At 33.7% G+C, this 14722-nt stretch overlaps 1 protein-coding gene across 13 annotated transcripts in view; it reads right to left on the bottom strand.

Moving 5' to 3' along the window:
• Positions 1 to 14722, bottom strand: part of NBEA (neurobeachin) — a 730467-nt gene that overhangs the window by 216260 nt on the left and 499485 nt on the right. For all 13 annotated transcript variants that reach the window (XM_047430271.1, NM_001385012.1, XM_006719803.4 and 10 more), the window contains one exon: positions 4242 to 4385. In XM_047430271.1, coding sequence (XP_047286227.1) covers positions 4242 to 4385 — 144 coding nt within the window. The remainder of the gene's footprint in view (positions 1 to 4241; positions 4386 to 14722) is intronic.

Genomic DNA, 14722 nt, shown 5'->3' with positions numbered 1-14722 from the left:
GTACTAATTCACTTTGGTGAATCACTACAAACTAAAAATGCAATTAAAGTAAATTAAGTTAGGTTTTATTAATATAATAATTACTTTATTGATTGGCATACTTCTATATTATAATCATATTAGCCATTTGCTACAATACATAATAAATTGGGTAATTAGTAGTCACACACATTTAACTTGCCTCTTGAGACGAACAGCTTGGGAAGAAAGGGAACTAAAAGTGAAACATAAAATTGTATGACATTTAAAGCTATAGAATTTTGTGGAACATTTTATCTTTATTAAAACTAGAAAACTCCAGACAAAATGGAGGAAACATAAGAAAAGGCCAACATTAAGTAAAATTGTACTAAAAGCATTCTATTTATCATAGTTTTTAACTTACCAGATTGATTTGGACCACACATAGACTATCTATAAGCAAAACTAAAATTAATTATTATACATATTCATATACTTCTAATGTAATGGAACCAGTGTAAAAATTGAGTTATAAACAGAAGATGTCATTTTCACATCATTTTAGAAGAGTCTTTAATGATATATACCTACAAACACACTCACATACACACATTTAAATGTACTATTTGGTATATTTTAGTTCAAACCATATACTATGTATTTGCAAGGAAATATATTATTTTGCCTACTTCTTAACCTTAGGCAAGTTACTTAATCTCTTGACCTCTTTATCTTTATTTCCAAAATTGGTGGTAATAATTTTTACCTTATTGGGTTGTTGTTTAGATTAAATGGGTTACTGCACACAAAGCTGTCTGAACACTAACCCTAACCCTAAGCCGAACTCTTTTTTATTTAGAGAAGCTCACCATATCCATTTGTCAATATTTTCAGCTATAAGGAAAATAGTTTTAAAAACATGAAAATGTAAATGTACTGAAGAGTAACTGCTATTAAACAGTTCTCAACAGGCAGAAAATACAGATTTTCCTTTTACAGAAAATGTTAAATCTATAATAGCAGCATCATTTATATGTCGAAAAAAGCTGGTTTTGATGTCTGGCTCCTAGTACTTCATGCCAGATATTCTTCTTTCTCTTCTTCTTTTTTTTTTTTTTATAAACAGAAATTGATCTATCTTTTGAATTAAAATAAGAACAGAATTAATCTTAACTAAATTAGTACTTTCTCTAAGTTTTCTGTACTAATTAGCATACTTTCTTCTATTTGAATTTAACTTATTACATATTGGCAAATTATACTGCATATCTGCTTATCTCTATGCCTATGTCAGCAAAACGGGGTTTTGTAAATAACAGGAAAATGTAGTATGCTAATCAGCAGGTTTAGGTTTACCTTTACAATTATAAAAATGATGTATTCTTTCATATATATTCTAAAATCTAAGAACTCTAATTACTTTTATATATTTGAAAGTACATTTCTCATACTAATAATATGCAAGCCATTTCATTAAGTTGTCATGAAAAGATAAACCTGTGATTTTTATCTCAGAGATTGAAATAGGCACTTTTTACTTTATATAATATTTCTGAGATAGCAAATAAATATAAGATTATATTAATATTGTACACCGATTTTAGGATTTCCTGTTTTTTTATTTTTTATTTTTATTTATTTTTTATTTATTTTGTTGAGACGGAGTCTCATTCTGTCGCCCAGGCTGGAGTGCAGTGGTGCGATCTTGGCTCACTGCGAGCTCTGCCTCCCGGGTTCATGCCATTCTCCTGCCTCAGCCTCCCGAGTAGCTGGGACTACAGGTGCCCGCCACCATGCCTGGCTAATTTTTTGTATTTTTAGTAGAGACGGGGTTTCACCATGTTAGCCAGGATGGTCTTCATCTCCTGACCTTGTGATCTGCCTACCTCGGCCTCCCAAAGTGATGGGATTACAGGTGTGAGCAACCACTCCTGGCCTGGGTTTTAATTTGAATTTAAGTCTCCTGTAAGGGTGACATTTTCTTTAGGCAGTACAGCTCTGTCAGGCTACTTAGAATGACATGTTATGAGTAAGACAGACATTATTATTAAACAAATTTTAATTTCTGCAACAGAGATAACCATGATTTGGACAATAATTGCTTAGGGCAAAAACAGTTACGTATTGATGTAATCTGCATCTTTAACCAATAGCTGATTTCTTAAACCTAAGAATTCTGGCTTGTAACAAAGTTCTAAAAATGAATTTTATGTAACATTGTAACTATTATGTTAGTCTAGATTAATAGGCTTCAGCATTTACAAAATAAATCTATTCTTATAACCTATGCAGCATATTTCTGTGGCCCTTCATAAAACACCCATCCCTTACTTCTTTTCCACTGTATTCAAGGTTCAGAGTATATTTGTAGACTGCTGTTTTTAAAATGAACTCTACAGAGTAGGCAGAGGATCAATACTTTAGGACAGCTGTAACACACAAGGATCCCGCTAGAAGAGTATGAGTTAGGACCAGGTATATTATGGATAGGAACAGGTATGCTCAATGACAAATCCATTAAAAGACAGAAATTAGAGGAGTCTTGATTCAGTGAATTGGTCAGGAGCCATATAATTTGATTTTAAAAAGTTTATTTCAAGCATATTTTCACTGTTCTTTAGGTGTTTGAACTTAACTTTTTTGGGGGATGTTTTCTTATAAAAATAAATTAATATTAATAATTAGCTACCATTAAAGAAGAGAAATATAAAAAGGTTATTAGTCTTTGTTGAATTGTGCCACTGGCATTACTGGGCAGTCTTATAATAAACTTTAAGGGACTATGCAAATCTATACTAACTAATTAATTATCTTCAGTAGGAACAAAGGACCAGGGAGTCTAATTTGAACTGTACAATTATTAAACATCTCTGCTAGCATATATGAATAGGAAAGACAACACATAATCTAAAAGGGTCAGAAATAACATTTGTGAATTTTCTGTATTCTTTAAGATGAAGAATGAGACCAGCAGAAAAGAAAACACATCTGTGGGCAAACAGAATCAATGACCTTCATTAGCTTAAATTTCCAAATGGCCTCATATAAAATCTCTGAGCTACTAAAACAAACCACAAAAACAACGAAAGCAAAACTTGAACATTTACTTAAGAATTTGAGGCAAACATTTGGTCACAGACTTAAGAGTACATTTAAATCGAAAAAATAGTTTTTATAATACAGAAATGTGAATAATATAGAAATATCTAGGAACTAGCATTAGAATAAACTTATTAAATATTTTCTTTCTTAATCTAGAAAAGGGAGAATAATGTGCTATCTCCAGTTTATAATTAACAGTAACATCTCTTTGAAGATGAAAAGAGAACTCTCTAACCAGTAGAAAGAAATCACTAGAGACTTTCATAAAGCCATGCCAGATAATTTTCAGTATGTTCCTTGCAACAAGTGTTATGTTGTATCAAGAATTATAAATATAAGTCCACCTCTCTATTGCCACCTGCCACCTCAACCTTGTGTGGGCTGCAAGTATAGAACTAAGACTCAGCTACTTTTTGAGACTCTGAAGCAGGCATTTTTAAGGTGAGGTTGAGGATATGATTCCATGGACTGGTTTCTGGAGGTCAGTGACCACTATGACATTGTGTACAGAATTGTATGTGCCTCTTCATGAAGCCATTTGCTTTCATCAGATTCTCAAAGTGGCTTAAAACCCAAAAAAGGTTGTGGGTGAATACACTAAGATATCTATACCCCATCTGCTCACTGTAGAATCACATCCAGAATTGATCTCAGACATATATCATGACAAGGTAAAACTGAGGTGGTAGGGGAAAGAATATCTGCTAGTGGCTTAGCAATATGAGGCTACAGAACAAAACAGGAGTGGAGAGAGACATTCTTTAGAGTGACAAATGGGAGGAAATGGCAAATTCAATTGGCACCTGGGAAAAGGACCTTGGCTCTTAGCATGTTGGAGATACACGTAAATCAATGAAACTGTCATTCTGTCCCACCTCCCAATTATAATATAGGCCGTAAGATGTGAATAACTGATACTGTGTATTATTCCTTCTATATAAAAAATTGCTCTTCATTACCTAGAAATTTGATGATATTCATTTATTGCCAATAAAATACACATTTCTTTGGGGTTCTCTCTTCAATATTAGAAATGAGATAAAGTAGAGTTTTAACATTCATGTGATTGAGCATTGTTACAACCATTGGCACACATTTATTTACTAGGAGACAGATTTTGAATTCAGTAGCTTTGTGTTTATTTACAACAAATAGGAAAAATATATTTTAAAATTTACCTGCAAGGTTGTCAATTTCTTTCTCCTGTAGCAGACTGACTGCATCATCGTCTCCTTCCAGCATAAGTTCTGTCTCTGCATTTTGGTTCACTATTGCTTGACTTCTGAATGTTTTCTTTGACTTTACTACATCTTCTTCCGTGCCTAATCACAACAAAAATATAATCATTTAGGTTATTATGATTGTTTCTGCTTATAGTAGGTATTATAAATAATTGATTGCTTTATTAAATTATATGCTGCATTTACATATTACTTTACAATTACAGAACATTTTAACCTTCTTTATCTTGTTTGGTTTTCTGTGAGAAACATGGGGTGTGCGGAGCTGTAATGATCTACCCTTATTTTAAAGATGAGGAAACAGGCAGAGGAAGCTACATGCATTTTGGAGGAACCTAGCAGTTGCTAGTGGTAGAGAAACGAACTCTACCATGTCTAAGGACTCGAAGATCCATGTCTTAGGGCTCTAAGATCAGTGCATGTTGCACAAAAAGTCTGTACTTCACCCCAAACTTATTTTCTTAAAATCACACTATTTTACATAATTATACTTTGTCTTAATTAGCTAATCAATTGCTAATTAGCTAATTAGAAGATCATTTTTGAAAGTGGATAAGTATGCAGCAAACGAGAAACCATTCACATGTGAGGGGAAAAATGATCATTGGAAAGTTACAGAAAGGCGGAGTTAGAAATGATGGAGACATAAAAGCTTCTTCACAATAGCTATTTCTTTAGCAATTAGTGAAATAAATACTGGTTTTTCTGAAATGATAGCCTTATTTTGCTATATATAATAACACAAAAAGCTGGTTGGGCGCAGTGGCTCACGCCTGTAATCCCAGCACTTTGGGAGGCCGAGGTGGGCGGATCACGAGGTCAGGAGATGAGACCATCCTGGTTAACACGGTGAAACCCCGTCTCTACTAAAAACGCAAAAAATTAGACGGGCGTGGAGCCAAAAGCCTGTGGTCCCAGCTACCCGGGAGGCCCAGGCAGGAGAATGGCGTGAACCCGGGAGGCGGAGCTTGCAGTGAGCCGAGATCGCGCCACTGCACTCCAGCCTGGGCGACAGAGTGAGACTCCCTCTCAACAAACAAACAAACAAAAACACAAAAAGCCAAAACCAAAACACATGAAAATAAGCAGAAAAACTGAAATACTGGAAATATTGCAAGATTTGACCTGGCATTAATGCGTTAAGTTAGAAACGAATGCATCTGAATCCCTCAAGAATTTGACTGCTTAATAAATGTTTTCATATTTACATTCAAACATCTGCTTTGGCAGGTGTCAATTAATATAAAATTATCTGAACTGAAAGCAAATTTTATACATGCATACACCACCTACACCCACACAAACACCACAGACATGAAATACTTCTATATCACTTGAAGCTGAAATTCAATTTAGAAGAAAGCATTGTCATATACTGTGTTCTGTATTAGGATATAGCCTTCAAGGAGCAGCATTAACTAGGAAAATGTCTTCATATCTCATTTGGGGTGGTGGATATATTCCTGGAAATGGGAGCCTTATAAATCAGTCCTATATGGTGTTGTATTATATTTTTAGGGGACATTATGGTGTCGGACCATAAACAATGGCTCTCCAAATGATGTCATGCCTTTGGTCGAAAGTGTACAATACTTTTGGTCAATTCACCCAGGCCCAGACCATAGAACTTCCAACAGTCCATTACTGCCTATTGATGTTTGCTCAACCATTTTGTTGTTGTTGTTTGAGACAGGGTCTCATTCTGTCACCCAGGCTGGAGTACAGTGGCATGATCACAGCTCACTGCAGCATCGACCTCCCAGGCTCAAGCAATCATTCTGCCTCAGCTTCCTGAGTAGGTGGGACCACAGATGTATACCACAATGCCTGGCTATTTTTTTTATTGTTATTTTTTTTTTTTTGTAGGGATGGGCTCTTACTATATTCTCAGGCTGGGCTTGAACTCCTGAGCTCAAGCGATCCTCCCACCTTGGCCTTCCAAAGTGCTGGGATTATACGCATGAGCCACTGTGCCCAGCCTCAACCATTTTCTTGCAAGTACATCTGGCTGTCATACAACTTGCATTGTAAAATAGTTGGCTTTTTTCCTTTTTCTCTTTGCAGTTTGTATACTTCTTTTTCTCAGTGAATATAGGCTAATTCTGTTTGCTAAAATATGAAAAAATGGACTCAAAAGGCTGCCAGAGTAAAAACACATGTTGAGGAACATAGTCACATCACAATACCATTACAGAGTATCACTGGCTAAGAGGTATAGTCTGTCATCCTAGCTCCTACTACATAACCACATTTAGAGCACATGGTTAATGCGTACCTTAAATGTATAAATAGATTGTTAGACATATATTTTGATAAATACTTCAGAGACAAATAGTATTATGACAAATCAATGCTACATTGGAGGGGAGGGGAATTAAATGGGTTCCATGTGTATTTTTCTTCCACTGGCCCATAGATAATTATTATTTCTGGAATAAAAGATTAGGGATAGATCACTGAATGCTTCAGAACCTTATCTTAATTCTATTTGATTTTTGGTGATATAAAGCCAGCCCAAGAGTAATCTTCTGAGGGTAGCTATCTTTATAACTTGTTTGCTTCTTGGCAAACAGAAATATAGAGCTTGCATCATTTGAGAACAAAAGAGGGAAACCCAATGATTAATAATTCAGAAATCTCTCCTGAGGTCTTCTCAGCTATATTTCTGGACTTTGCCTGAATACTATTAACTGAACATTTCTCTTACTGAGCTAATTGTCTCTTGCTCCTTCTCCTCCTCCTATTTTGGCCAACCATGTACTTTAGCAGAAACCTAGGAATTCATCCTGCATGGTGACTGCCACTGCCCTAGTTCAGGCCATCACTGTTTTTGGTCTAGAGGGTGTCAACAGCTGCCTGACTCACACCGCCTTCCATACTTTTGTCAGAGTGATTTTTATAAAACACAAATAAATTGAGGACATTTTCCTATTAAAATTATTCATTAACTCCTCCCAGTCAAGAACACCTAATGCAAGACTTAGACTGGAGGATAAAATCCAAACTTCTTAGCATGGCTTACCAAGGCCTTTTATCCTCTCATTACCAGTTCTGTGTTTTCACCACACCTTCCTCAGCAATATTGGACCACTTATAGCTTCCAAAATATGTCATGCTTTCACATACCTCTTTACCCATGCTAATGTTATTCCCTCTGCAGGGTATGTTCCTACCTTTCCTCCTTGGCCTGGCTAATTGCTACTTGCCCTTAAAAACTCACTTCCTTCAGTTGCCTTTCCTAACAAACCCTACTGCACGTTAACAGCTTACACATAATTCAACTGCACTGTATAGGTGTTACCTACTATGTGTCTGTCCTCAGTCCCATTTCTGTAGCTTCAGTGCCTGGTGCCCAGCAGTTCTGCCACAAACATGTGCTGAACTGAAGTTCAAGTTCACCCCACCACCCCATTCCCTTCTCTGATTTCTTAAGAGCACTTGTGTACTCTTTCCCTTATGCTTCCACCATACCTCGTAAACCCTGCTACTGCATAATTTATAGATATTGTAACTGCTTGCTTATTTAACTCCACAAAAGCCTCCAAGTTCCTTCATGACTGGAAACATGTTTTTGTCTTGGTATTCTCAGTACTTAGCACACTGCCTAGCACAGAGCAAGCCCTCATAAATCCTGAATAAATGTATAAACTCAGACATTACAGTTACCCCTGCATATTTCAAAGTCTGAAGTTCCCAGGGTATCTCAGAATCTCAGTGATTTGCCTTTAGTTTGGGGCAAGCCGGAGAATATATGTATTTACATGAAAAGTAACTTGGTTTTTTACAATAAAGTCAAAAAAGCCTTTAAGTGTGAGTAATCTAATAAAGCAAGTTTTTCCTTATATAAAAATCATGGGTAATCTTTGTCAGTAAAAAAGCTTTATGTTACTTTTGTATTACCAAAATAAAAATTTACCAAAGAAGAAAATGTAGTAGAAGAAAGGTGAGCTCTGAAATGTATATCAAGCTTTCAATTTTATCCCCTCTGGTTTTAAAGCAGTAAAACAATCATGACTTTAAAAGATATATAGTAAACTAATCCATATCAACACACTAAGCTTATCATCCTTGTTGAAGTGTTATCAGTTTGCAGCTCAGCAAACTTCCTGATTTCATGGTACTGCACCAAACATTTATCTAAATTAAAGTGTATGAGATCTAAAGGTGCTTTTCAATCACAATATCCTTTATGAATTAGAGTTTCATTCATCAAAATTACAGGCAAAAAGAGGGAAGGTCTCAAAGGGCTGTCTCATTACAAGGCTTGTAAACACTGTCCTTAGAAAGAATTGGTTTAACACCCAACAAATCAAAATCTGATTGGGAAGAGAATTTATTTGAGATCATCTATCTTCAGAAGACATGTTGGACTGAGTGCACTTTTTGGCCTCTTTAGCCATTCATCAAGAAATTAACAAGCGAATACCACAAACTACCAGAACGCCTTGGATCTGAAAATGTATATTATGTGTAAAGCTGGGTAGGATAGACATATATGCTATTGCCTATGAAAACATTAAAATACCACAAAATTTAAAAGTTTCAGGAGAAAAAATGCCACTGAATTATAGCTCAAGGAAGCTAAATCCAAAACCGCACTTATGTTATTTTCTACATCATGTGAGAAATAACCCATGAAAGCACTCCATAGACTGACTTCTTAGTAAATATATATATATATAAAGCTCTGTATATGAAAATGTTATGTAATACAGAATATTGCATTGCAGAAATCTAAAGTTCCTTTTTCATAAAATTTCTATTAATAACCAAGAATCCATGTGAAAAAAGGTATATTTTAAAGGTGAAGTAACAGCAGAACTAAAATGTTTCTAGTATTGTTACTATATTCCAGTATTATTGTTACTCTTATTGATATAGTTTAAATTTCCATTTTAAAGTTTTGTTGTTATTTTAAATAAGCATAAGTTAAAACACAGAAATGACAAACTGGAGACATGAACTCCTCCTAACGACATCAAAGAATATGTCTACCTGGAATGGCCACAGGATCAAGGCAAAGAAATTAGTTCATGTGCCCTTTATGTTCTTTTCTATTGATAAATATAAACAATTAATGTAAGAAAAATACAGTATTTTATTTCTGTTTAAGAAATCCTCCTATAATCAACTCTAAAACATCTATACTAATAAAGAAAAAAGTAATTCACAACAATAGGTTAGCTATAAATCATATGTGTGGCTAACACACAAAGAAAAGAGATATAACCACATAATAAGCCAGTTTTAATGTAGACTCAGCTTTTCACCAGCTTATGCTATTATTATTTATATTGACTGTGGAACAATGGGGTTTTCATTTATTGAAAAGTTATATATATAGGTATATTTATATAGATATATAGGTATATATGTGTATCTATCTAATGTATATCAACAATGGAATAATACATTTTCAATGTTATTTTATTTGTACCATTTAAACATATGGTTTAAAGCTCATGATCTAGCTTCTGCTTATTTAACCTCACTATTTTACTGATTTGGCCTCTTTGCACCTCATATTCTCTAAAAGCTGAATGTTTTTGTCTGCATACATGCCACATTGTCTCAAATCTTTAAGTCCGACCTATGTAATTTCTTTTACATAAAATCTCTTACATGCCTATTCCTTCAGGATTCAGTCAGGTTGATTATTTCCATCTCTGTATAACATTTATATCTTAGAAACAACAGGTGCTGGAGAGGATGTGGAGAAATAGGAACACTTTTACACTGTTGGTGGGACTGTAAACTAGTTCAACCATTGTGGAAGACAGTGAGGCAATTCCTCAGGGATCTAGAACTAGAAATACCATTTGACCCAGCCATCCCATTACTGGGTATATACCCAAAGGATTATAAATCATGCTGCTATAAAGACACATGCACACGTATGTTTATTGTGGCACTATACACAATAGCAAAGACTTGGAACCAACCCAAATGTCCATCAATGATAGACTGGATTAAGAAAATGTGGCACATATACACCATGGAATACTATGCAGCCATAAAAAAGGATGAGTTCATGTCCTTTGTAGGGACATGGATGAAGCCGGAAACCATCATTCTCAGCAAACTATCGTAAGGACAAAAAACCAAACACCACATGTTCTCACTCATAGGTGGGAATTGAACAATGAGAACACTTGGACACAGGAAGGGGAACATCACACACTGGGGCCTGTTGTGGGGTGGGGAGAGGGGGGAGGGATAGCATTAGGAGATATACCTAATGTAAATGACCAGTTAATGGGTGCAGCACACCAACATGGCACATGTATACATATGTAACAAACCTGCACGCTGTGCACATGTACCCTAGAACTTCAAATATAATATATATATATACATATATATATATATATATATATATATATATATATAAACATTTATATCTTAGAATTAAGTCATCATATCTTATCATTGTTCAATTTTGGAGTGTTTTTATTTTAGGGATTCTCTACTGGACTTTAATTTCACATGTCAAAATGGTAACAAATGTTTGTTGAGTAAATGAAAACACATAAACACACTTCACATATTAGTCATTTTACATGCACATTAGTTAAGTTACTTTTCATGTACTTTACAGTTTCCTCATAAGTGGGAGAGTTGGACTATTTGATTTGCCATTCATAAGTTATTGTTCCCCACTAATATCCATTAGAAACATTAAAAAAATTCAGACCAATCTCTTAATTTCAGTTTCCAAATTTGTAGAAGAGTAATATTAAGTATTTTCCACATTTTCTTTCACAGGATTATTGCAAAGTTAAAATGAGACAATGGAAATGTGTGGAGATTATTTACATAGTAAGCTTTCAAAAATGTTTATTAAAATTTTGATAAAATAAATAAAACAAGAGGATAAAAAGTATACTGAATACATAATTAAAACTGAAAAAGAACATAGTTAATGCTTTATTGCTTATAATAGTGTTGCATAAGATTTACGTAAAGAGGGGGAAAAAAAGCTGGCTTATCTGAGGATTAAAAAACTCAAGATAAAGCATGAGTCTATGGTCTTGGCACAATGCCTATCCAACATCAGGTATTCAACAAGTGATAGTTTCCTTTCCTTCAGTTGGAGTTACTATTCTTCCTTCCACCATGCTGTTATAACAGTGTTCGTATTCATTAAAATGTGAATGAGCCTTCAGCTCCTCCACTAGATTGGATGCTCCCTGAAGACAGGAATGATAGCATGAAGTACAGGTGTTAGGAAGTACTTTGGAAATTGAATGTAGTATAAATAGCTTACATTTTAAATGTAATGTAGGTTTTCCATAACTATTTTATTCATTTAAAGATATTAAATAAAATTACATAAAGCACCAATGTATTTGACATGTACTTCTGATTTTGCATACAGATATTTAATTATATAAATATGTTTAGTATCTTGGATATTTGAAGGAAAAGAACTGCTTTCTCAAGAAGAGATAATGCATTTAATATAGGCTTCTTTTCATCTTTGGAAAAAGATCTTTGGGAGGACACTGGCAGAATAGAAATCTGGTCTAATTTTATTTTTACCTAAATGTATTATCAGGTAATTCTGTTTCTAAACATTCAGGAATCTGTTGAACAGGATGGCATTCTTTTTCAAAGAAGAAATTCTTTTCATTATACGCCATTTCTCAATATTTTTTTAGCTTGTTCAATGTATTTTGACGAAGTCTACCACTCTTTTAGTAGAATAAAATGTTGCAATTCATTTCCAAACCTAAATACTTTTTAAAGTGCATTAATTACATGAATACTTTGAGAAATTTTAAAGATTACTTTTTCTCATTAAAACTTAAGTCTGAGCAACAAATACCTTTTCAGACCAGTGCTTTTAGTAACTCTAAATGGTGCTGTTTAATTTCCACTAAAAGGAAAAAGATTTAAGATAAATATACCTCTCAGAAAATTACAATAGATATGATGACACAATCTTGTGCAATAATATGTATGAATCAATCTATTACTGGGAAGTTTACAATTTTGAACATTTCAAAAAAACCTGAAAGAATGCTTTTTCTTATACTGAGGAACCTATTGTTCGAAAACATTTTATGCTTACCTTAGTGTATCTGTGAGATAAAAGTAATAGATACACACTAGAACAGTCTACTGTAACAATCATTTCCTAATAAGTAAATATTTTTCTTTGTAAATCATCTAAATTCCAATTTTAATTTTGTGTTTGACTTTATTAAGTGCGTCCTTCCTTAAGAAACAAATTACGATAATAGGAAAGATCACTTTTCTAACGAAGATTAATGACAAAAAATTAAATCATCTTCTTTATAAAATAGCATTTTTTTAAAAAGGAGAAGAAAACAGGTCTTTCAATAGAAAAATCCCAATGGCAAAACTGTTAGTGATACTGAATAAAAACACTAAATTAGAAAGAATGACCAGAAATCTCAAGCATTTTCTCAATCTTTTATACCTGATACTGAGTCAGAAGCCTCACTTTATCAATATAAAATTATTTTATGAAAGCAAGTATTTCTACACATGAAATAGACTTTCTATTTGTTGTTCCAAATACATTTTAGGTAAAAATCTGAGTATTTACTAAGCAAATTTAATAAATACAGATATAAAGTCTGGATAGTTCAACCATCCAATTCCTCCTTTCTTAGTTGTGGATATTTTAGTTTGAATGAGTTGGATCTAACCATGATTCCCACTTCAATTTAATTTTGTTGACAGAGAATATATTGAATAATCCAAAATAGATATTATCTATACCACTATAAAATTAAAAACCCAAGACACCAGCTTCAAATTTATAATAAACTTGGTTCAAAAATGCTATTCCTTACGTGGATCAGTAATTCATGGCACTTATGGTCCATTTTAGCACATGACTATATTACATAAAAGTCAGAGTACAGCATCTTACGTAATTTTACCAAAAAGGAACTTGTACAGACTTTTGTTTTAAACTACATATAAATATTACGTCTTTAGGTAGGCTGTGTTTTGAAAAGCTGGGGGAAAACAGTTCAGTGGTATAGTAAATGTGCAGCATTAGCAATCTGGGAATTAACACATGGAAATTATTCCAAGTGTTAAATTTTTATTCAGATTAGTTATGCTTGTAAACAATTGATTGGAATTTAAGAAAGAAGAGAAGAAAATGGCTACCTAACACCAACAGTTATTGCTCACTGGAAAAGGACATCAAGGATACTTGCAAGCAAAAGAATTGGATCAATACTAACGTGATTTTCATTTCATGCTTCCCCAACTCCAGTAAGCTGACAATATACTCTGATTATGTGAACTGCCTCAGAGTAACAGAGAAAAGGTTATTAGAGCAAGAGGTGGAAATGGAATGCACTTTTTATATTGACAGGCCTGCTAATAGAGTATACTGATTTTCAAAGTCATGCAATTCATTTTTACAATTTGGTTCTGACAGCAAAAACGGAATTTCATTTATTCCTAATTCAAAATATTCATAGGTAAGCAATATTTTTTAGAGCAGACCAACAAACGGGAAATTCATAAACAGTATTTTTAAACAGAGAAATGCAATTAAAAAAGTGCAAGAAAATATTATTGAATTTAAGTGAAGCACTATATAAGTATGAAATGTTAACTTAATAATCTTCTTAATGGAGTCAACGTAGAAAACTGCCTTCTATGCTTTCTAAAGAAAATTTGATAAACCATATTTTAAGAATATACGTGACGGTAAACGCAGACTCTCTCCACATTTTAGACGGGATATTACTCGACAGGATTTTGATTAGCCATGAAGTTAAGATTTTTAATTATTTAAAATGAGATTTCATTATACTAAAAATCGCAGGGCACATTTTACTTGTAAAAAAACGTAATAAAACATATAGAAAACTTGCGTCTTTTTGGAACTCTCTAAATATCATAAAGAGCAGAGATGATGCACTATTCATCTTTGTGACTATATGAGTACATTGCATAGCGTTTGGTCCCTATGATAAAATACACACAGAAAAAGACTAACATGAAATAAATACATGAAAATGATAAAGACAGTTATCTTTATGTGGATGACTTCTTCAAATTTTTTTGGCACTTTTGTTGGTATTTCCTATAATGAGCATATGTTTTTCTGAAAGAAAGCAAGGAAAGGAGGGAGGCAGGGAGGGAGGCACAAAGGAAAGGAACCTGCATCATGTACCAATACGGGTAGATGGCTAGTGAGCAGCAGAATGTGAATTAGAAAGTTTGGCAACTATTAGAATGAAAAAAAAGATTAACTGGACAACTTGAGAGTGGGCTGACAGGGTGGGGAGACTTTCTTGCACAGTAAGTGACATTACCTCAGTGTCTTCTTTTTTTTTTTTTTTTCACATCTAGCATTCCTTGTTTACTAGAGTTTTAACCTTTTTCCATTCCATGTATTTTCAAATAGGAGACAAGTTTAT

This window comes from Homo sapiens, chromosome 13 (assembly GCF_000001405.40).
Source record: "Homo sapiens chromosome 13, GRCh38.p14 Primary Assembly".
In the NCBI taxonomy this organism is placed as follows: Eukaryota; Metazoa; Chordata; class Mammalia; order Primates; family Hominidae; genus Homo; species Homo sapiens.
The sequence above is the reverse complement of the archived record's forward strand: the minus strand, read 5'-3'. Positions and strand labels throughout refer to the sequence as shown.